This window comes from Homo sapiens, chromosome 5, assembly GCF_000001405.40.
Source record: "Homo sapiens chromosome 5, GRCh38.p14 Primary Assembly".
NCBI lineage: Eukaryota > Metazoa > Chordata > Mammalia > Primates > Hominidae > Homo > Homo sapiens.
Window position 1 is genome coordinate 70,976,867 of NC_000005.10, and position 22,824 is coordinate 70,999,690.

Here is a 22,824-nt window from a genome sequence, read left to right on the forward strand (position 1 = left end):
AAACATTTTAAACCACCATTGTAATATTATAACTCTTACCAAATGGGACGGCTTGAAAAAATGAATCCGAAAACTTAATTTCTGTGAGTTTCTTACAGGAAACAAGCATAGTCATGAGAGACCCAAAATCCGAAAAGAAGTTACACTTCAGATGGAAAACATGAAGGTTTGGAGAATTTTGAATTAATTTTACTGTAAAAGATCAAGGATTTTCAGAAATTAGAAAATACTGCAAATTTCTATCAAAATTAGCCAAGTAGTTTATTATTTTGTTTCAATAATACTTAATTAAAACCAGGTACCACGATCTCATGATCTAAGAATCAGGTCACTGGGCTTGGGTTCAGGTTCTGCAACTAGCAAGTAATGTGAATTTTGACACATTATTGACCCTCTCTGGGTAACAGTTTTCTCTTCTATAAAATACAAGCATTGACTCAGTAGCATCACCTTCAGCTTTAACACCTAATAACTCTAAGTTTGTACATGACATTTACACAATAAGAATACAAAGAGGCCAGGTGCTGTGGCTCATGCCTGTAATCCCAGCACTTTGGGAGGCCGAGGCAGGTGGATCATCTGAGCTCAGGAGCTCGAGACCAGCCTGGCCAACATGGTGAAACCCTGTCTCTACTAAAAATACAAACATTTGCCAGGCGTGGGTGGCAGGCAGCTGTAATCCCAGCTACTCGGGAGGCCGAGGCAGGAGAATCGCTTGAACCCAGGAGGCAGAGGTTGCAGTGAGTGGATATTGCGCCACCAAACTCCAGCCTGGGCAACAGAGCAAGACTGCATCTCCAAAAAAAAAAAAAAAAAAAAAAAAAAGAATACTATACAAAGAAACAGCTGGGCATAGTGGCTCACGCCTGTAATCCTAGTACTTTGGGAGGCTGAGGTGGGCGGATCACCTGAGGTCAGGAGTTTGAGACTGGCCTGGCCAACATGGTGAAACCCCGTCTCTACTAAAAATATTAAAAAATTAGCCGGGCATGGTGATGGGTGCCTGTAATCCCAGCTACTTGGGAGGCTGAGGCAGGAGAATTGCTTGAACCCAGGAGACGGAGGTTGCAGTGAGCTGACAACGGTGCCACTGCACTCCAGCCTGGGTGACAGATTGAGACTCTGTCTCAAAAAAAAAAAAGAAACATAAAAGGAATGACAACTCTGAAGCAAAACCTAAATTTGTTGCAAAATTTGCTGACAAATATAACTACCACCTCCAGCTTCGGTGTATATATGTATGCACACACACACACACACACACATATATATATATATATATATTTTTTTTTTTTTTTTTTTTGAGACAGGGTCTTGCTCTATCACCTAGGCTGGAGTGCAGTGGCATGATCATAGCTTATTGCAAGCTTGAACTTCTGGACTCAAGTGATCCTACCAGCCTCCTGAGTAGCTGGGGACTATAGGTGCACACCATCATACTTGGCTAATTTTTTATTTTTTTAGTAGAGACGATGTCTTGCTATATTGCCCAGCCTGGTGCTGAACTCCTGCTCTCAGGCGATCCTCCCGCCTCGGCCACCCAAAGTGCTAAGATTACAGGTGTGAGTCACTGTGCCTGGCCAACAATGAAGCTTTTGCATGCAAGTCTTTATGTCAATTCCATAGAGTTGTATATTTCTTCAATCTTTAGTGTTCAGTGTTTACTAAGTTAAGGAATGATGGTGCCTAAGTCATTTAGCTAAATGATGTATTTAAGAAAGATGGCTGCACCATTTTCCATGAACTATTAGGATAGGCTGGTGAGAAACAGGGAAATACTTCCAATGACTACAGATTAGCAGATTTCCTTCCTGCTGAGCTGCCAGATCTGTAAGTTGCAATGTAAGACCAGCCTAACCAAAAACAAAATAAAATAACCCTACAAATTATTTTGGAGTGGCAACATTATATTAGGGATTTCTTTCTTTTTTTTTTTTTTTTTCTGAGATGGAGTTTTGCTCTCGTTCCCCATGGAGTTTTGCTCTTGTTCCCCATGGAGTTTTACTCTTGTTCCCCAGGCTGGAGTACAATGGCGCGATCTCGGCTCACATTGCAATCTCTGCCTCCCAGGTTCAGGTAATTCTCCTGCTTCAGCCTCTCAAGTAGCTGGGATTACAGGCATATGCCACCATGCCAGCAAATTTTTGCATTTTTAGTAGAGGCAGGGTTTCACCATGTTGGTCAGGCTGGTCTCGAACTCCTGACCTCAGGTGATCTGCCCTTCTCGGCCTCCCAAAGTGCTGGGATTACAGGTGTGAGTCACCAGGCCCGGCCTATATTAGGGATTAAGAACTCAGATTTTGGAGTCAAAATTCCTGTATTTGAGTCACAGATATACATTTCCTTAGCTGGATATTACGAATTACTTTATCTCTTTATGTCTCAGTTTTCCCAGCTACAAAATAGCATTAATAATAGTACTTTACTTTGGCCAGGCACGGTGGCTCATGCCTGTAATCCCAGCACTTTGGGAGGCCGAGGCGGGAAGATCATGAGGTCAGGAGATCGAGACCATCCTGGCTAACACGGTGAAACGCCGTCTCTACTAAAAATACAAAAAATTAGCTGGGCGTGGTGGCAGGCACCTGTAGTCCCAGCTACTTGGGAGGCTGAGGCAGGAGAATGGTGAACCTGAGAGGAGGAGCTTGCAGTGAGCCGAGATCGTGCCACTGCACTCCAGCCTGGGCGACAGCGGGAGACTGTCTCAAAAAAAAAAAAAATAATAATAATAATAATAATAATAATAGTACTTCATAGAGTGGGTATGAAGACTGAGTTCATATTTGTGAAGTGCTTAGGATACTTCCTAGTGTGTAGTAAAGGCTCAATAATTACAAACAGCACTCTGCTTTCTTAATGAGAAAGAGTGCTATTCCTCACAATTTACCATGGATACAGGCTACACCCTTAGAACCACAGGCACTTTAACTCTTAAATAAATTATTGGCCAAGTAGCTTTTCCAACTTACGTAAAAACAAGTATATTAAAGTGCCATCCTTACCTAGTTTGGAAGGATCATACTCAGCTGAAATTTGGATCAATAATTTCTCCATATGGTGGAAGTTTGGAAATTCTTCAGGAATGACTGAAAAAACATTTATATTGCCCTCCAGATCCACAGACAGTTCTTTCAGGCACAGGAACTTATCCAGATTAGGAAAGATTTGGTCTGGAAAGCAGCACAGTTTCCCATTATTAATCTAAAGAGTTCTGAATGGACATTTTAAAACTGTCATTTTGATTCATCCAGCTATTTTCACATGCAAACCTTCCACATACCATAAAACATTCTTTTTTTTTTTTAAAGAATACATATATGAAGATATTGCTTTTTGCAGCTTATGCACTGTATGGGAAGCCCTGTGCTACTCTTCAGACTCACAAAAAGAAATACAGCATCTCGGCTAGGCGCAGTGGCTCATGCCTGTAATCCCAGCACTTTGGGAGGCTGAGGCGGGCGGATCACGAGGTCAGGAGTTTGAGACCAGTCTGGCCAACATAGTGAAACCCCGTCTCTACTAAAAATACAAAAAAAAAATTAGCTGGGTATGGTGGTGTGCATCTGTAATCCCAGCTACTCAGGAGGCTGAGGCAGGAGAATCACATAAACCTGGGAGACGGAGGTTGCAGTGAGCCAAGATCGCGCCATTGCACTCCAGCCCAGGCTACAGTGTGAGACTCCGTCTCAAAAAAAAAAAAAAAAAAAAAAAAGAAGAGAAAAGAAATATAGCATCTCTTCAACAAACGGTTGGGGACAACTGGATTTGCACATGCGAAAGAATGAAGTTGGATTCCTATCCCTCACCATGTAAAAAAAATCAACTCAAAATGGATCAACGACCTAAATATAAAAGCTGAAATCACACAACTCTTAGAAAAAACATAGGAGTTAATCTTCATGACCTTGGATTTGGCAATGGATTCTTAGATAGGACACCAAAAGGACCAGCAATAAAAGAAAAAAACAGATAAATTGGACTTCGTCAAAATTTAAAACTTTCGTGCACAAAGGACATTATAAATAAAGTAAAATGACAACCTATGGAATGGGAAAAATATTTTCAAACTGTGTATCTGATAACAGGTTGAAATCCAGAATATACAAATAACTCTTACAATGCAACAAAAACAACAACAATTTTTAAATGAGCAAACATATTTTTTCAAAAAGTGAAAAGATACTTAACATCATTTTCATGATTTGCATTAGAGAAATGCAAATCAAAACCACAATGAGATACCACTTCACAACTACTAGAATGGCTTTATGATAATCACAAAACAAAATGGGCTGGGTGAGGTGGCTCATACCTGTAATCCCAGCACTTTGGAAGGCCAAGGTGGGTGGATCATTTGAGCCCAGGAGTTCAAGACCAGACTAGGGGCCAGGCACGGTGGCTCATGCCTGTAATCCCAGCACTTTGGGAGGCCGAGGTGGGTGGATCACCTGAGGTCAGGAGTTCAAGACCAGCCTGGCCAACATGGTGAAACCCCATCTCTACTAAAAATACAAAAATTAGCTGGGTGTGGTGGCGGGAGCTTGTAATCCCAGCTACTTGGGAGGCTGAGGCAAGAGAATGGCGTGAACCCAGGAGGCAGAGCTTGCAGTGAGCCGAGATTGCGCCACTGCACTCCAGCCTGGGGGACAGAGCGAGGCTCCATCTCAAAAAAAAAAAAGAAAGAAAAAGAAAAAAGACCAGACTAGGCAACATAGCAAGAATCTGTCTCTACAAAAAATAAAAAATTATCCAGGCACGGTGGTGCATGCTGGTAGTCTCAGCTACTCAGGAGGCTGAGGCAGGAGGATCACCTGAGCTCAAGAGGTTGAGGCTGCAGTGAGCCATGATTGCACCACAGCACTCCAGCTTGGGCAATAGAGCAAGACACTGTCTGAAAAACAACAATGAAAACAAAAACAGGTCGGGCACTGTGGCTCATGCCTGTAATCCTAGCACTTCGGGAGGCCAAGGTGGCTGGACTGCCTGAGCTCAGGAGTTCGAGACCGGCTTGGGCAACATGGCGAAACCCCATCTCTACTAAAAATACAAAAGTTAGCCAGGTATGGTGGTGCACACCTGTAGTCCCAGCTACTCAGGAGGCTGAGACAGGAGAATTGCTTGAACCCGAGAGGTGGAGGTTGCAGTGAGCCAAGATCTCGCCACTGCACTCCAGCCTGGGTGACAGAATTAGACTCTGTCTCCACAAAAACAAAAATTAACAAGTGCTGAAGAGGATGTGGAGTAATTGGAACCTTTGTACATGGATAGTGGGAATGTAAGATGGTGCAGCTACTGTGCAAGTTCCTCAAAAAGTTAAACATAGAACTACCATATGAATCAGCAATTCTGCTTCTAGGTATATACCCAAAATGATTAAAAGCAAGAACTTAAACCGATACTTATAATGCCAGTGTTCATTGCAGCATTATTTATGATAGCCAGAAGGTAGAAACAACCCAAGTGTCTCTCAGCAGCAGAATGGATAAACAAAATGTACTATATACATACCATGGAATATTAGCTATAAAAAGGATGAAGTTCCTTTTCAAAGTTGATACATAATAATTGTACATATTTATGGAGTACATGTGAAGGAATGAAATTCCAATATAGGCTACAACATGATGTACCTTGAACAGTATGCAAAGTGAAATAAGCCAGACAAGTGATAATGCTTATAAACAATATCTAGAAGAGGCAAATTCATAGAGACAGAAAATAGAAGAGAAGTTATCAGGGGCTGGTGGGAGGGAAGATTTTTTTTTTTTTTTTTTTTTTTTGAGACGGAGTCTCACTCGGTAGCCCAAGCTGGAGTGCAGTGGCATGATCTGGGCTCACTGCAACCTCTGCCTCCCAGGCTTAAGTGATTCTCATGCCTCAGCCTCCCGAATAGCTGGGACTACAGGCGCATGCCACCACGCCCAGCTAATTTTTTGTATTTTAGTAGAGATGTGGTTTCACCATGTTGCCCAGGGTGGTCTCAAACTCCTGAGCTCTGGCGATCCACCCTCTTCGGCCTCCCAAAGTGCTGGGATTACAGGCGTGAGCCCCCGCGCCCGGCCCAATTTATTGTTTAATTGGGATGATGAAAAGGTTCTGGAGATGGATAGTGGTGATGGTTGTACAACATAGTGAATGCTTAATGCCACTGAGTTGTACACTTAAAATGATTAAAATGTAAGCTTTGTTACATGTATTTTACCATAATAAAACAGTACTTGAAAAAAGATGAAAAATTTTCTAAATTTGGTAAATGTCAACCCACACATTCCAAAAAAGTTCAGTGCACCTCAAGCAAGATACATACAAAGCAAAGCACACCTAGGCATATAACAGTCAAACTGCTTAAGACCAAAGCAATACTAGCAACAATTAGAAAATGAAAAAATATTTTTAATGACATTTACAATACTTTCAAAAGATATGAGTATCTAGGAATAAATTTAATGAAAGATGGGTTAAGTCTACACTGAAAACTATCAAATAGTGCTTAGAGGAGTTAAGACACAAATAGATGAAGATATTATTTCCCATTAATTTATTTATTTCCCAGGGACTACAGGCCTTTCTTCCTTTAGGCAGCTAGGGTGAAGGTAATTTCTAAGCATCATCTTACATATAGCTAATTCTTTTACTAATAACAGATAATTCATGTCTTTATTAAGAACCTTCAATAATTTAATATAAATATTTTATTCATTTTGTCTGAGTTATTTGAAAACCATTCTATTATTCAAGGACTTTTCACTAATTCATGCTACTGTCAAAAAAAATTAGTGAAGGTTTATTTTATATCTGTTCTATCAATGAGCATGCATGCTTTCATGGCCTCAGAAGTTTTCAACCACTTAAAGTAAGAAAAAGAAATTATACATCAGAATAGTCATCCAAAATATATACAGGTATACCTTGTGACTGGATTGTCCCTGAGACTTCAAGAGATTCCAGGGAAGGCAGGGTGAGAAGCAGTTCCTGTTCGGCTGCGCTGAGTTCCAACTTGCTTATGGAGCACTTGGTGACAGAGGCCTTAGACAGCTCAAGAGCTGGGCGGATGCTTTCTATAAAGCCTCTGCTGTGGTTTAAATGGAGTTCGATGCGCTGTGAAGCTGAGAAAACTGTCATTAGAATCTCAAGCATATCCTGGCCTACAACATCAATATCATTCACATCGACTTCTAGACAGGGAATCTTGTACTGCTTTGGAGAAAGTTTCCAATAGCCAGTACTAAGGTCTGGTGATGCCCTGCGCTGCATATCCATATAGCTCTTTACATTATCCTCTTTTTCAGCTAAATTTCGCTCCCATTCATTCATAGGTTCAAAGGCAGAAGCATAGTCCTGATCTATAGTTGGCACCTGTGATTTGTCAAAACATGTTTCCAGAACTGAAAAATGTGCTCTGGGTGATGTCTTATTTCCTCGTATTGGGAAGTGGATGCTCCTCAACAATGACAAGCTTTCTGGGTGGTCGAAAAAGTACTGTAAGTTAAGCGCACCCAAAGTCAGTGTTCTCCCTTGAAGGAATTGCAAAACAAATGGAGAACACGCAGCAACAGTGTTGCTTTGATAAGCAGTTTTCAGGGCAAGAACCAGTAAATGTTCTGAAACCATTGAAAAGTAAGCTTGTGGACAAATTTGCCACAATCCCCTAAGTAACTGCATCTGCAGTGAAATTTCTGGCTGGTGCTTTAAGTAGTCATCATTTTCAGATATATTCTCCAATGACTCTTTGTTATCCACTAAATGGAGCAAATGAGACACAATTTTGGGCCCTGCTTTTGTTGAAGGGAGGCTGGAGACATAGTTCAAAAAATTGTTGTAGGCGCTTACAGTCATCATGGGTGAGTTGATTTGTTTCAAATGATACAGTCCCAAATCTTGATGTTCCTGCCTATCTGAATCCAGGAGTTCAATCAGCCTCATCCCCGCAAGAAATTCTTGGAAGGCAGGACTTAAAAACCGGTAGAATGGTCTTAGTCTCTGGGCTGTAAATTTGCTCATCAAGCACATGGTTAGATCTTCATCTTCATCAACCCCTGCTTCTGCGAGATCATCATCATTAAACTCAAAGCAACATGAAAAAAACCCTTTCAAGGCCAGCTCACCACAGGAGGACACAGTTGCTTTGAGAATTTCAGCTGTCGCTTTGTTCCTTAAGGAAAGGCGTTCCATATAGGACTTGAAAACAGCCACATCATCAAAGGATGGGTCAAAAGGATACTGAAACCAATGAGCACAGATCGCCGCCACAAAGAGAGGAGTTTTCTGTATCTTCTGCAAACTTTGGTTCTTTCCAAAGTAAACCATAAACTTTCGCAGACGAGTCATATTATGTGAAAAGAGCTTCCGTAATATACAGACAGTATTATAAAAGGGAAATGCTTTGATCTCTAGAATGGTCTCTAGGTATCGGCGGATGTCCCTGGCCCTGTTTGTACGGACAGCAATCAATAGGCAGGTCCGGGATAAGTGGTTTTTTTGAATCAGTTTTCCTATGACTTGAGGGATTGAACATATTTCTTTGTAGTCATCTAAAAGGAATAAGACCTGATTCTTTAACTGCTGGATAATGTTCCTCACGCACATTTCAGTAACAGATCCTTCTTTCTCTAGGAGCTGGTCACAGATGATACTGGCCAGCCCCTCGTCTGGTCTGGTGGAACTAAGGGAGAGGTAGAAAACCAGCTGGAACCTGTTTAACAGGGGACAGCATCCAGATGCCCACAGAAAAGCTATTTTCTTCAGGAGGACCGTCTTTCCACTTCCAGCTTCACCCTCCACACACATGACAGAGTTCAAGTTGCCAAAGACCTCAGGCAGCACCAGAGGTTCTTGCACAGGTTTGCTGATGTGTTTTGAAGCAATAGACAGATCACAGCCCAGCAAGTGGTCCGTGGCCAGATCGGAAGAGATATCAAGCAAAGACATGTGGCGGAAACTGGCGCTGGTATAAGCTGCTCTCAGCTGCTCATTCAGATTCTTTGCCTCTTGAAACCACTGGGCTTCACCCTGTGCCATTTCTGTGGAGAGAAAGAAAGGGGGGCACAACAGGGATTCATAGTCACATCTCCCTCAGTCTGAACGCCATGCCTTTTCATTCCATGATTCTGCCTGTCTACTACGAATGTGTTAGGATTTTCCACAGCCATCCATGATTCCCACATTGCAATCATCTCATAGGTTTTGGCACAAAATCGGAATGTGGAAAGCATGTGTCCAAAGTGCCACACTTGAAGCAGGGACCTAGACATAATGTGTGCTTATCATAAGCACCATGCATCTCAGGAAAGAGGCCAGGCAAAGTGACTCATGCCTGTAATCCCAGCACTGTGGGAGACCGAGGCAGGCGAATTGCTTGAGCCTAGGAGTTCAAGACCAGCCTGGCCAACATGGCAAAACCCTGTCTCTACAAAAAATACAAAAATTAGCCAGGTGTGGTGGCACATGCTTGTGGTCCCAGCTACTGGGGAGGCTGAGATGGGAGGATCACTTGAGCCTGGGAGGTCGACGCTGCAGTGAGCCATGATCTTGCCATTGCATTCCAGCCTGGGTGACAAAGTAAGACCCTGTCTCAAATAAAATAAAATAAAATAAAATGAATAAAAATAAAAATCTCAGGAAAGAAGTTTACTGATTGGTGCTTCTAAGGACTGGTTTGCTTGTACCTGAGACACGTTGCCTACTATCAGTTTGGTCCTGCCTGCACTCTGGAGAAGCCACAAGAATCTTGACTTTTGCTCATACACGACACTGTTGCAATGCTGCTCCTCTTTGGAAGCTCTTTGGACAATTATAAATACTCTTTTTTTTGCAACTGCCCTGTATACAAATATATTTACAAATACATATAATCCCACGTGCTACTTCAAAGTTCTTACCTGGCACTATAGGACCAACTGCTATTGAATCTTCAAGATTGCTTTCACTTGTGGTTTCCTTTGAAAAATAAAATCTTTTCTTAAATCAAAATTTGTATAGGAGAGTGGTGCATCATGTTGTAATCATTGGAGACTAAACATCTTCTAAACACAGCCCACCCTCAAATATTTATGCTGATTGAAGGGAGGGGTGCTCCAAATATAAAGCAATTAATAATCTGCAAACATCTGCAGGAATGTGTGTTCCTCAGTGGTTCATATATGATACAATCCATGGGTGATACTATCCAGGTAACGAGAATCATAGTGTCTTGAGCAAGAAGGTTCCTCCAAAAGTCATTAGGTGCAGCCTCTGTCCTTGGTTAACTACATTTTTAATATTACACATCCAGTACTTAGAAAGGTTATGTTTCTTCCTTAAAAAATAAGCTATTTCTATATCCCCAAACTTTTTTCTTTAGTGCCATTTTTCAATTCATATAGAAAATGAATCACGTGAATAGCAAGTTGGTTTTTGTGTGTGTTGGGGGTGGGGGGATGACAAACATAACATACCTAACACACAGCCTCAAAATAAGGTGGTATATGTGTGCATTAAATTAGTAGTGGCTTATATCCCAGAGAACTAGGTAGGATTTCTCAGCTTAAAGTGGTCAGCCTATTACCTGGGTTTATGATTTTGTTGGGCACTTGCTTTTGTTAAAGTAACATCTTCTCAACCCCTAAAAAGGCCAAGTAGCAAATCCAGCCTTATTGCCCTCCACATGAAGATCCAGAGAGGATCCATTTAGCCTGGATGCTAATCAACAAAGTCTAAGAGAGTCTGGGCCTTGAAGTAGAAGAGATTGACTATACATTTCATGAAGCTAGGTATTGTGCCCGACTGGTTTATTGTGATTTCCCCAATCTGTACCTAGAACATAACAGATGTTTAGTAGATGTTTGTAGAATTTATTAACTTATTTATGATGAGACATTCCTGTTCAAAACAGTTTTCAATTATATGATCATGTGCTGGTAAAACAGACAAGATGACGGTGTTCATTACCAGTAATTCACAAAGTTCACCACGGCTCTGAAGGTCTGGAGTCACTTCCGCAGAGGACTTCATATTTTGGAGAAATGGACAACTAAGTGTAAAAGTTAAAAGTTATAAAAATAGTTGTATGCATTTAAGTATTTGTGTTAGGTATTTTTGTTGTTGTTGTTGCTGTTGTTGTTTGTTTTGTTTTTTCAGAGACAGGGTCTCACTATGTTGCCCAGGCTGTTCTGGTTTCAAACTTCTGGCCTTGAGCAATTCTCCTCCCTAGGCATCCCAAAGTGCTGGGATGATAGGTGTGAGCCGCCAGGCCTGGCCTTGTATTAGGTTTTTAAAAACACTATTAGAGTTTTAGTGACAAGAATTAAGTATAAAACTATCATTTCCAGTGATTCTCTCTGTCAGTGTCATCAGGTAAGGCACTTAGGTTGTGGCTCTCTGCAAGAGAAATGTAAATGGTTTATAAAGTAACGGTAAAGGATATCAAGGGAATTTGGTGGAATGAGTGCGTATATGACACTCCTCCATGCAACCAACAAAAATGAACTTAAAGAATCAAAAATAGGAAAAAAAAAACCCTCTATTTATGAATTCTGGAACAAAAAACAACATAGTGGAAAAACTGGTGAAATCCAAATAAACTCTGGATTTTAGTAAATAGTAATGTACAGTATATGAATTGGTACACTGATGATTTTGACAAATATGCTAGTGTAAGATGTTAGCATTAGGGTAAATTGGGTATGGCAATATATAGGAACTCTTTGTATTACTTTGCACTTTCTGCAAATCTAAATAATTTCAAATAAAAATTTATTAAAAAAAGAAAAAAACTCTGTGAGTGCGGTGGTTCACACCCAAAATCCCAGCACTTTGGGAGGCCGAGGCGGGCAGATCACTTGAGGCCAGAAGTTTGAGACCAGCCTGGCCAACATGGCAAAACCCTGTCTCTATTAAAAAGAAAATTCCAAAATTAACCAGGCAGTGGTGGCGCACACCTGTAGTCCTAGCTACTTAGGAGGCTGGGGCACAAGAATCGCTTGAACCTGGGAGGCGGAGGTTGCAGTGAGCTGAGATTGTGCCACTGCACTCTAGTCTGGGCAATGGAGTGAGACTCTGTCTCAAAACAAAACAAAAAACAAACAAGGCCAGGCATGGTGGCTCACGCCTGTAATCCCAGCAGTTCGGGAGGCTGAGGCGGGTGGATCACTTGAGGTCAGGAGTTTGAGACCAACCTGACCAACATGGTGAAACCTCACCTCTACTAAAAATACAAAAATTAGCCGGGCGTTGTGGCGGACGCCTGTAATCCCAGCGACTTGGGAGGCTGAGGCAGGAGAATTGCTTGAACCCAAGAGGCAGAAGTTGAAGTAAGCCGAGATCGCACCATTGCACTCTAGCCTGGGCAACAGGAGTGAAACTCTGTCTCAAAAACAAACAAACAAACAAACAAAAAACTAACCAACCACAAACCACTCCATTGCCAGGTGCAATGGCTCATGCCTGTAATCCCAGCACTTTGGGAAGCCAAAGTAGGAGTTTCACTTGAGGCCAGAAGTTCAAGACCAGACCAACCTGTGCAACATAGAGAGACCTCCTCTAAAAATTAGCTAGCAGGGTGGCATGCATGTATAGTCCCAGCTACTTGGGGGTGCTGAGGCAAGAAGATCACTTGAGGCCAGGAGGTTGGGGCTACAGTGAGCCGTGATTGCATCACTGCACTCCAGCCTGGGTGACAGAGTAAGACCCTGTCTTAAACAAACAAAAAATTAAAAAAGAAACCCTCCGTCAGTATCAAAAGAAAAGAATGGCCACAAACATACTCTCTAAAAACTACTTGCCAATCTCGTGAAACTAGGACGCAAATACCCTCTAAACTCAGGTTTGATGTATGCTTGAAGAACAAGAGAGAAAGTTCAAAAAGAGCTCTAGTTGCAATTATTAAAATGGACAGATGAGAACTATACATGTGAGTAAGTCAGTGGCCTATTCCATGCTGTAGAATCACTGGAGAGCAGGAGTAAAGCAAAGGGACACTTTTTTTTTTTTTTTTTTTTTTTTTTGAGACAAGGTCTCACTCTTTTGTCCAGGCTTGAGGGTAGTGACACGACCAAGGATCAATGTAGCCTCCAACTCCCAGGCTCAAGTGATCCTCCCACCTCAGCCTCCCAAGTAACTGGGACTACAGGCACGTGCCACCATGCCAGGCTAATTTTTTTTTTTTCTGGGCTCAAGGTATCCTCCCACCTCAGTTTCCCAAAGTGCTGGGATTACAGGCGTGAGCCACTGCATGTGGCCCAGATACTTCATTTGTATTGCCTTCAGGTGACTTGGCGATGAGTCCAGAAATAGAAGCATAGCTTCAGGAAAACAACAAGTAGAACTTTTAACGTTTCTGTCCAAAGTCAGCCATGTAGAGGTAAATAAAAACAAACCCATAGGGAAGGGGTGAAGTGGCTTACAAAAGAAAAAAAATATTTTAATAGGCCCATCAAGGAAAAGAACTATGAAGGAAGGTAAAATATAAACTTATTCATACAAACAAATGCCAAATAAAGTCAGTTGCCAGCATAACTGCACTACAAAAAATGTGAAAGGGACCAGGCACAGTGGTTCACCCCTGTAATCCCAGCACTTTGGGAGGCTGAGGCAGGCAGATCATGAGGTCAGGAGTTCAAGACCAGCCTGGCCAACATGGTGAAACTCTATCTCTACTAAAAATACAAAAATTAGCCTGGCATGGTGGTGGGCACCTGTAATCCTAGCTACTCAGGAGGTTGAGGCAGGAGAATCACTTGAACCCGGGAGGCAGAGGTTGCAGTCAGCCGAGATCGTGGCGCTGAACTCCAGCCTAGGAGACAGAGCAAGACTCCATCTCAAAAAAAAAAAAAAAAAAAAAAAAAGTGAAAGGAAGCACATCATTTAAAAGGAAAATGATAGCAGATGGAAATTTGGTTCTACTCAAAGGAATGAAAAGTACCAGGAATGATAAGATAACTAAGAGGGCAAATATGAAAGACTTTTGCCGTTGTAAAAATGTACTTAAATTGTTTAAAGCAAAGATATAACATTATATTGTAAGATTTATTAAAGTACATGGAAATAAAATGTATGACAATAGCACAAAGGATGAGAGGGGAGAAATGGAAATATACTATTGTATGGTTCATACATTTTATGTCAAGTGTTATATATTTTTTTGACCCAGAGTCTCACTGTGTCACCCAGGCTGGAGTGCAGTGGCACGATCTCAGCTTTCTGCAGCGTCTGCTTCCTGGGTTCAAGCAATTCTCGTGCCTCAGCCTCCCAAGCAGCTGGGATTACAGGTGTGCGCCACCACACCCAGCTAATTTTTTTGTATTTTTAGTAGAGACGGGGTTTCACCATGTTGCCCAGGTTGCTCTGGAACTCTTGACCTCAAGTGATCTGCCTGCCTCAGCCTCCCAAATTACCGGGATTACAGGCATGAGCCACTGCACCCAGCTGTTATAATATTTTTGAAGATTACTATGATATGTTAAATAGGCATATGGTAAACTCTAGAGCAAGTAGTAAAAAGGTAAAATAAGGATTAATAGCTAATAAGCTGACAGAAATAAAATGGAGTACAAAAAAAAATACTCAAGGAGGGGTAGAAAAAAGAAAAAAAAAAAAACCCTAAACCCTAGGAAGTCAGGAAAAGAAAAAGAAACAAAGAAGTGATGAAATAAATAGAAAGCAAATGGTAAAATAGGTTTAAATCCAACCATATTCATAATTGCATTAAATTTAAACGTTCTAAACATTCCAATTAGAAAGCAGTTATTGTCAGACTCTTAAAAAGCAAGACCTGGCCAGGCGTGGTGGCTTACGCCTGTAATCCCAGCACTTTGGGAGGCCAAGGCAGGTGGATCATGAGGTCAGGAGATCGAGACCATCCTGGCTAACACGGTGAAACCCCGTCTCTACTAAAAATACAAAAAATTAGCCAGGTGTGGTGGCGGGGTGCCTGTAGTCCCAGCTACTCGCGAGGCTGAGGCAGGAGAATGGTGTGAACCCAGGAGGCGGAGCTTGCAGTGAGCCAAGATCGTGCCACTGCACTCCAGCCTGGGCGACAGAGCAAGACTCCGTCTCAAAAAAAAAAAAAAAGAGAAAACCTGGCTGGATGTGGTGGCTCACACCTCCATCTCAAAAAAAAAGCAAGACCTGCTGGGTTCAGTGGTCCACACCTGTAATCCCAGCACTCTGGGAAGACAAGGCAGGAGAATTGCTTGTGGCTAGGTGTTCGAGATCAGACTGGGCAACATAGTGAGACCTTGTCTCTATAAAAAACTAACAAACTTAGCCAGGCTTGGTGGCATGTGCCTGTAGTCCCAGCTACTCAGGAGTCTGAGGTGGGAGGATTGCTTGAGCCTGGGAAGTCCAGGCTGCAGTGAGTCAAGACTGCACCACTGCACTCCAGCGTAGGCAACAGAGCGAGTCTGTCTCATAAACAAATAAAAAATAAAATAAAAGACCCCACTGTGTTGTTGCCTATAACAATTCACTTTAAGGCTGGGTGCAGTGGCTCATGCCTGTAATCTCAACACTTAGGGTGGCAGAGGTGGGAGGACAGCTTGAGCCCAGGAGTTTGAGATCTGCCTGGGCAACATAGTGAGACCCCGTTACCCACAAAAAGGAAAAGGAAAAAACAAGAATTGACTTTAAATATAGTCACAGATAGATTAAAAAGAAAATAATCTAAAAGATGTAACATGAAAAAACTAATAAAGGCCTAAAAAATACTATCAAGGATAAAGAGGGATATTTCTGTTTTTTAGAGACAAAGTTTTACTCTGTCACCCAGGCCACAGTACAGTGGCACAATCATAGCTCATTGCAACCTATACTCCTGAGCTCAAGCGATTCTCCTGCCTCTGCCTCCCAGGTAGCTGGGACTACAGATGCATGCTACCACACCCTGTTTGTTTTAAAAATTTTTTGTAGAAATGGAGTCTAGCTATGTTGCAAAGGCTAGTCTCAAACTCCTCGCCTTGTGCACTCCTCCCACCTCAGCCTCCCAAAGTGCTGGGATTATAGGTGTGAACCACCATGCCTGCTTGGGATATTTAATATATTCTCTGGAATATGAAAGACCAAAGGGCAAAAAAATAGCTAAGACACACTCTTGAAGAGAAAGAACAAGACTATTCTGCAGGAAAATATGAAAATAAGCTCAACTGCCAGGCGCGGTGGCTCACACCTGTAATCCCAGCACTTTGGGAGGCTGAGGTGGGTGGATCACCTGAGGTTGGGAGTCCGAGACCAGCCTGACCAACATGGAGAAACCCCATCTCTACTAAAAATACAAAATTAGCTGGGCGTGGTGGCACATGCCTGTAATCCCAGCTACTCGGGAGGCTGAGGCAGGAGAATCACTTGAACCTGGGAGGCGGAGGTTGTGGTGAGCCGAGATCGTGCCATTGCACTCCAGCCTGGGCAACAAGAGTGAAACTCCGTCTCAAAAAAAAAAAAAGAAAGAAAAAAAGAAGAAGAAAATAAGCTTAACATTATTAGTAATTACACTGACAAAAATTAAAATTTGGGCAATACCAAGTTAGTGAGGAAGCAAATCAATAGAAACGCATCTAGGCCAATGGGAATGTAAATCAGTGCAACCACTTGGGAAAAAGCTTTGCATTATCTAGTGGAGTTGAACACCCGCAAAGTTCTATGACTCTGCAATTCTTTACTTTGTTATGTATCCTAGAGAAACACACATGAGCACTGGAAAATATGTACAAGAATGTTCATAGGGCATTATTTGAATTTGCAACACTCTGAAAACGACCCACGAGGTTAATCAACAGTAAAATAAGTTATTATATATTCATAAAATAATACACTATTTACCAATGAAAACAAGTGAACTACAACTGTGTAGTACATATAAATATGGATGAATCTCAAAAACATCGTGGAGTAAAACCAGCCAATTACAAGAAGAATCATGCAGTATGCTTCTTATTTGAACTTCAAGAATAGACAAAGCTAAATATGTTTAAGGATGTATATGTAGTTGGTAAAACCACAAAGAGAAGCAAGGGAATAATTAACCCAAACTGAGCATCACATTTACCTCTGGATTGGAGGGACAGGGATATAATCAGAATTAGGGGGTGGTTGGCATGCAGAGTTGTTTTTTGTTTTTTGATTTTTTTTTTTTGAGACAGAGTCACGCTCTGTCGCCCAGGAGTGCAATGGCGCCATCTTGGCTCACTGCAACTTCCGCCTCCCAGGTTCAAGCCATTCTCCTGCCTCAGCCTCCCTAATAGCTGGGACTACAGGCGTGTGTCACCAGGCCCGGTTAAATTTTTCTGTTTTTTAACAGAGATGGGGTTTCACCATGTTGCCCAGGCTGGTCTCGAACTCTTGAGCTCAGACAATCTGCCCACATCGGCCTCCCAAAGTGCTGAGATTACAGGCGTGAGTCACTGCACCCGGCCGCAGGGGTCTTTTAAGGCATTGATAATGTCCAATTTCTTGACTTTACTAGGAGGTTCATAGGTTGCTTTTTATTCATTCTTTAAAGCATACATAAAAATTTTAGGTAATCATTTGGAGACATACTGGTTTGCAGTTTTTTTAAGAGGCAAAGGAAGAGTAAAAATCCAAAAAGGAGTTGGCTGGGAGCAGTGGCTCATGCCTGTAATCCAAGTACTTTGGGAGGCTGAAGCAGAAGGATCATTTGGAGCCAGGAGTTTGAGACCAGCCTGGGCAACAAAGCAAGACCCCATCTCTACAAAAAAAAACTTTAAAAAATTAGTCGGGCATGGTGACACATGCTTGTAGTCCTAGCTACTTGGGAGGCTGAGGTGGGAGGATCACTTGAGCCCAGGAATTTGAGGCTACAGTCAGCTAGGATTGTACCACTGCACTTGCTCCAGCCTGGGTGACAGAGCCGAGACCCAGTCTCTTAACAAAAAAACACTAAAGGCCAGGTGTGGCGGCTCACACCTGTATTCCCAGCACTTTGGGAGGCTGAGGCAGGAGGATCACTTGAGGTCAGGAGTTCAAGACCAGCCTGGCCAACATGGTGAAACCCCGTCTCTACTAAAAGTACAAAAAATTAGCCAGGCATGGTGGGGAGGTACCTGTAATCCCAGCTACTTGGGAGGCTGAGGCAGGAGAATCGCTTGAACCCGGGAGGCGGAGGTTGCAGTGAGCCGAGATCACGCCACTGCACTCCAGCCTGGGTGACAGAGTGAGACTCCATCTCAAAAACAACAACAACAAAACACTAAAACTAATAATAATAATAATAGTATAAAAGGGAGTTGATCGATTCCAGAGTAAGTTCTAAATAAGACTAGACTGCATCCTAGCTTATCCTTCCAAGAATTAAGTAGAATGTCCCCATTGTTCTCAATAATTTATTATACACTAAGCCCAAATAAGAAAGAAAAATGAGGTAACTACTGCTATCAAAATACCTTCAAGGCAATAAAATTAGATAGAAGTATTCATTTTGTTTTATTTTTGTTTTTACCACTATACAAATGAGCAGGAAGCATTCATTTTAAAATCTGTATGTGTTCATATTCATTTCTAAAAAAAAAACTCTTACTAATTACATAGTGAAAACACAAATTTCTTCTTGCAATTAAACATTTCTAAAGAGTTTGATGGGTAAAAAAAAATTAAGTTTAAAGATTCATAGAAAAGAAATATTTCTTCATAAAATTTTAGAACAGATATTTTTCTGAAAGCTTCCAGCACAGGAAAAAAAAAAATTTTGTTTGCAGTAAAAGGATTGACAAGCAGAAAGGCATGGAACTTCTCGACAGCACATTAGGAACCAGTAGAAATGTAGCAGTGCCTCTACAATTTAGAATTAAAATGACTTCCAACCTATAATTCTACACCTAGCTAAACTATCAAATAAGTGTGAGAATACAGGAAAAACATATATCTAGATAGATCTATATGTCTGTATATGCATTATATGCAACTAAAAGTGTGTATTTCTTATGCAGTCTTTCCCAGGGAACTCCGATGAAGTGTTCCAACAAAATGAGCGAGTGAACCAAGAAGAGGATGACATTAGATCCAGGAGATACAACAGAGGAGATAATCTCCAGGATGCCTGTGAAGAAAGATCCCTGGATCCCAGGATGATTATAGGACAAGTTGTTCATAATCCAGCAGGCCAGAAGACTTCCAGGGAAACTCATTTCAAGATGAAAATGGACCAGCCGCAGTGGCTCACGCCTGTAATACCAGCACTTTGGGAGGCTGAGGCAGGCGGATCACTTGAGGTCAGGAGTTTGAAACTAGCCTGGCCAACGTGGCAAAACTCCATCTCTATTAAAAATACAAAAATTAGCCAGGCATAGTGGTGCATGCCTGTAGTCCCAGCTACTTGGGATGCTGAGGCAGGAAGAATTGCTTGAACCTGGGAGGCAGAGTCTGCAGTGAGCCGAGATCATGCCACTGCACTCCAGCCTGGGTGACAGAGCCAGACTCCGTCTCAAAAAAAAAAGAAAAAGAAAAAAAAAATGATGACTCTTTCAAGAAATGAAAATGATGAGATATCTGGTAGGTCTGAATGACTTAAGAGGAGATTTAAACATTTGGGATAAGTTGAAGATGAGCTGGTGTTCGTCTTCATTTATTTCATTTAAATAAATAAAATTATTAATACATGAATTTTATCTCAAGAAACAAAAATAAGCAATGTACATAAAAATTAAGCAGATGGCTGGCCGGGCGCGGTGGCTCACGCCTGTAATCAGAGCACTTTGGGAGGCTGAGGCGGGTGGATCACGAGGTCAGGAGATGGAGACCATCCTGGCTAACACGGTGAAACCCCGTCTCTACTAAAAAAATAAATAAAAAATAAATTAGCCGGGCGTGATGGCAGGTGCCTGTAGTCCCAGCTACTCGGGAGGCTGAGGCAGGAGAATGGCATGAACCCAGGAGGCGGAGGTTGCAGTGAGTGAGATCACGCCATTACACTCCAGCCTGGGCGACAAAGTGAGACTCCATCTCAAAAAAAAAAAAAAAAAAAAATTAAGCAGATGGCTATAATTTTTTTAAAAATAGAAAAGTGTTGATGAGAAATGGGAAACCTCATACATTGTTGGTCAAACTGTATGCTTCCATTTAGAGGAAATAGTCAGAACAAATAAATCCATAGACACCAATTAGGTTGGTGTATCCCAGGGGCTGGGCATGGAGTGGGGTGGAGAGAGAAGGAGGGCCTGCTTAGTGGATACAGAGTTTTCTTTGGGGGCGATGAAAGTGTTTTGGAACTAGATAGAGGGGGTGGTTGCACAACATTGTTGTTGGTGGGAATTTAAAATGGTGCAAGCACTGTGGAAAAAACAGTTTAGCATTTCCTCAAAAAGTTAAAACAGGCCAGGCGCTGTGGCTCACGCTTGTAATTCCAGCACTTTGGGAGGCCAAGCCAGGTGGATCACTTGAGGTCAGGAGTTTGAGACCAGCCTAGCCAACATGGTGAAACCCTAAAAATACAAAAAATTAGGCGGGCATGGTGGCAGACACCTGTAATCCCAGCTACTCAGGAGACTGAGGCAGGAAAATTGCTTGAACCTGGGAGGCGGAGGTTGCAGTGAGCTGAGATCGCACCGCTGCACTCCAGCCTGAGTGACAGAGTGAGACTCTGTGTGAGAAAAAAAAAAAAAAGTAAAAACATAGAATTACTATACAGCTAGCAATATCGTTGTTAGGTATATGCCCCAGAGACTTGAATACAGTTACATGCTCCATCAGATACCTGTACCCAAATGTTCCTATCGGTATTACTCATGGTAGCCAAAAGGTAGAAACAACCCAAATATCTACAAATAGATGAATGGATAAATAAAATGCAGTGTATCCATATGGAATATTACTTGGTCTCAAAAGGAAGGAAGTACTTATGCAAGCTACAACATGGATAAACTTCAAAACAATATGCCAAGTGAAAGAATCCAAATGCAAAAGGTCAAACGGTATGCTTCCATTTAGAGGAAATAGTCAGAACAAATAAATCCATAGACACCAATTAGGTTGGTGTATCCCAGGGGCTGGGCATGGAGTGGGGTGGAGAGAGGAGGGGGGCCTGCTTGATGGATACAGAGTTTTCTTTGGGGGCGATGAAAGTGTTTTGGAACTAGATAGAGGGGGTGGTTGCACAACATTGTGAATGTACTATAATAAATGCCACAGAATTGTGTACTCTAAAATGGTTTAATTGCTGTGCATGGTGGCTCACGCCTATAATCCCAGCACTTTGGGAAGCCAGGATGGGAAGACTGCTTGAGCCTAGAAGTCTGAGAGCAGCCTGGGCAACATAGAGAGACCCTGTCTCTTAAAAAAAAAAAAAAAAAAATTAGCTGGGTGTGAAGACATGTGCCTGTAGTCCCAGCTACTTGGGAGGCTGAGCGAGGAAGATTGCTTGAGCCAGAGAGGTCAAGGCTGCAGTGAGCCATGATTGCACCACTGCACTCCAACCTGGGCAAGAGAGAGAACCTGTCACAAAAAATAATAAATAAATAAATAAAATGGTTACTACCTGAATTTTACCTCAGGAAAAAAAAATAAGCTAACATACCAACAGGACAGTTATTACTTCCTAAAAAAATAAAAGGATATACAGGAAGGGAAAAATAAATAAAAATTTACCACAAGCTTCAGCTCCACATAGCATTTGTATAGTCATGATAATGTAAACATGTAATGTGAATATATGAATCTAGCCAAAACTATGCCATAACTATAAAGAGGGGAAGGCTAGTACAGGAAGGGGGTCATGGAGCAAAGGGATGAAAGACATGAAGACTCATCCTTCATAGCCTGAATCCGAGGAGTGGATAAAGACTCAATCTAAAGATAAAATAAGGCAGGAAATGAGGAAAAAGAAAAAAACTGTTGAAGTGCATCCAAAGTTGCAGATGGTTAACATTCATTCCACTCACTTGGGAAAACATCTGGTGTGATCGTCTAATGGGTCATCACCTTCCTGCCATTTCTCTAAACACCCTCCACAGGAAAAGCACTGGACGATGTCCTTTATACCTAAAAGTAAGGAAACTTGATCAGTGCCACTGGCATGGGCATCTGTCCATTAACATGCAGATAATAACCACCAGACCTGTAATAGTGAAAGCCTATTCAGTCTCCAGTTGGGTTTTGTGACAGTCAGAAGTTGGTTACCAGTGAGGCAATTTTCTATATAAGACTCTGTCCACCAATGGGGTAACTGGCAAGTAGTCATTGAATGCTCCTACACACCATGCACTTTGATGCACACCATCCCTCTGCCCCATTCTCCTTTGATCAACAAACAGATTGGCAACCAGAATCTGGAATTGAAGCTCCATGAGGGGGCTGGGCGCAGTGGCTCATGCCTGTAATCCCAGCACTTTGGGAGGCCAAGGCCAGCGGATCTCCTGAGGTCAGGAGTCTGAGACCAGCCTGGCCAACACGGTGAAACCCTGTCTCTACTAAAAATACAAAAATTAGCTGGGCATGGTGGCACATGCCTGTAATGCCAGCTACTCAGGAGGCTGAGGCACAAGAATCGCTTGAACCCAGGAGACGGAGGTTGCAGTGAACCAAGATAACGCCATTGCACTCCAGCCTGGGCAACAAGAGTGAAACTCTGTCTCAAAAAATAAAAATAAAAATAAGCTCTATGAGGGTAGAGGTTTTTGCTCACTAATGAATGACATGAACCTAGAAAAGTGCTTGACACTCATGTGGCACTCAATTAGTATTCGTTTAATGAATGAATCAGAAAGAATATATTTAGAGCTCACGGAAAAAAAATACCAGCAAATCTAGCAGCCCTTATGTAAGTGAATGCATGAAGAATTAATTGCCTCTTACCACATTATTGCCATGTTTATTACACCAGAAATAGGATTAAGTCTCTTTGTGAAA

The 22,824-nt window shown here is 42.0% G+C and overlaps 1 protein-coding gene and 1 long non-coding RNA gene across 4 annotated transcripts in view; one reads left to right on the forward strand and one right to left on the reverse strand.

Moving 5' to 3' along the window:
- Window positions 1-22,824, reverse strand: part of NAIP (NLR family apoptosis inhibitory protein) — a 57,174-nt gene that overhangs the window by 8,701 nt on the left and 25,649 nt on the right. For all 3 annotated transcript variants that reach the window (NM_022892.2, NM_004536.3, NM_001346870.2), the window contains 6 exons: window positions 21,858-21,957; window positions 10,927-11,008; window positions 9,879-9,936; window positions 6,909-9,020; window positions 3,003-3,170; window positions 40-192 (listed from right to left, as the gene is read on the reverse strand). In NM_022892.2, the coding sequence (NP_075043.1) occupies window positions 40-192; window positions 3,003-3,170; window positions 6,909-9,020; window positions 9,879-9,936; window positions 10,927-11,008; window positions 21,858-21,957 (2,673 nt within the window). The remainder of the gene's footprint in view (window positions 1-39; window positions 193-3,002; window positions 3,171-6,908; window positions 9,021-9,878; window positions 9,937-10,926; window positions 11,009-21,857; window positions 21,958-22,824) is intronic.
- Window positions 78-19,584, forward strand: LOC112267942 (uncharacterized). The gene is made up of 2 exons (XR_002956243.1): window positions 78-166; window positions 18,912-19,584. It is a non-coding gene; the product is annotated as an uncharacterized LOC112267942 (long non-coding RNA).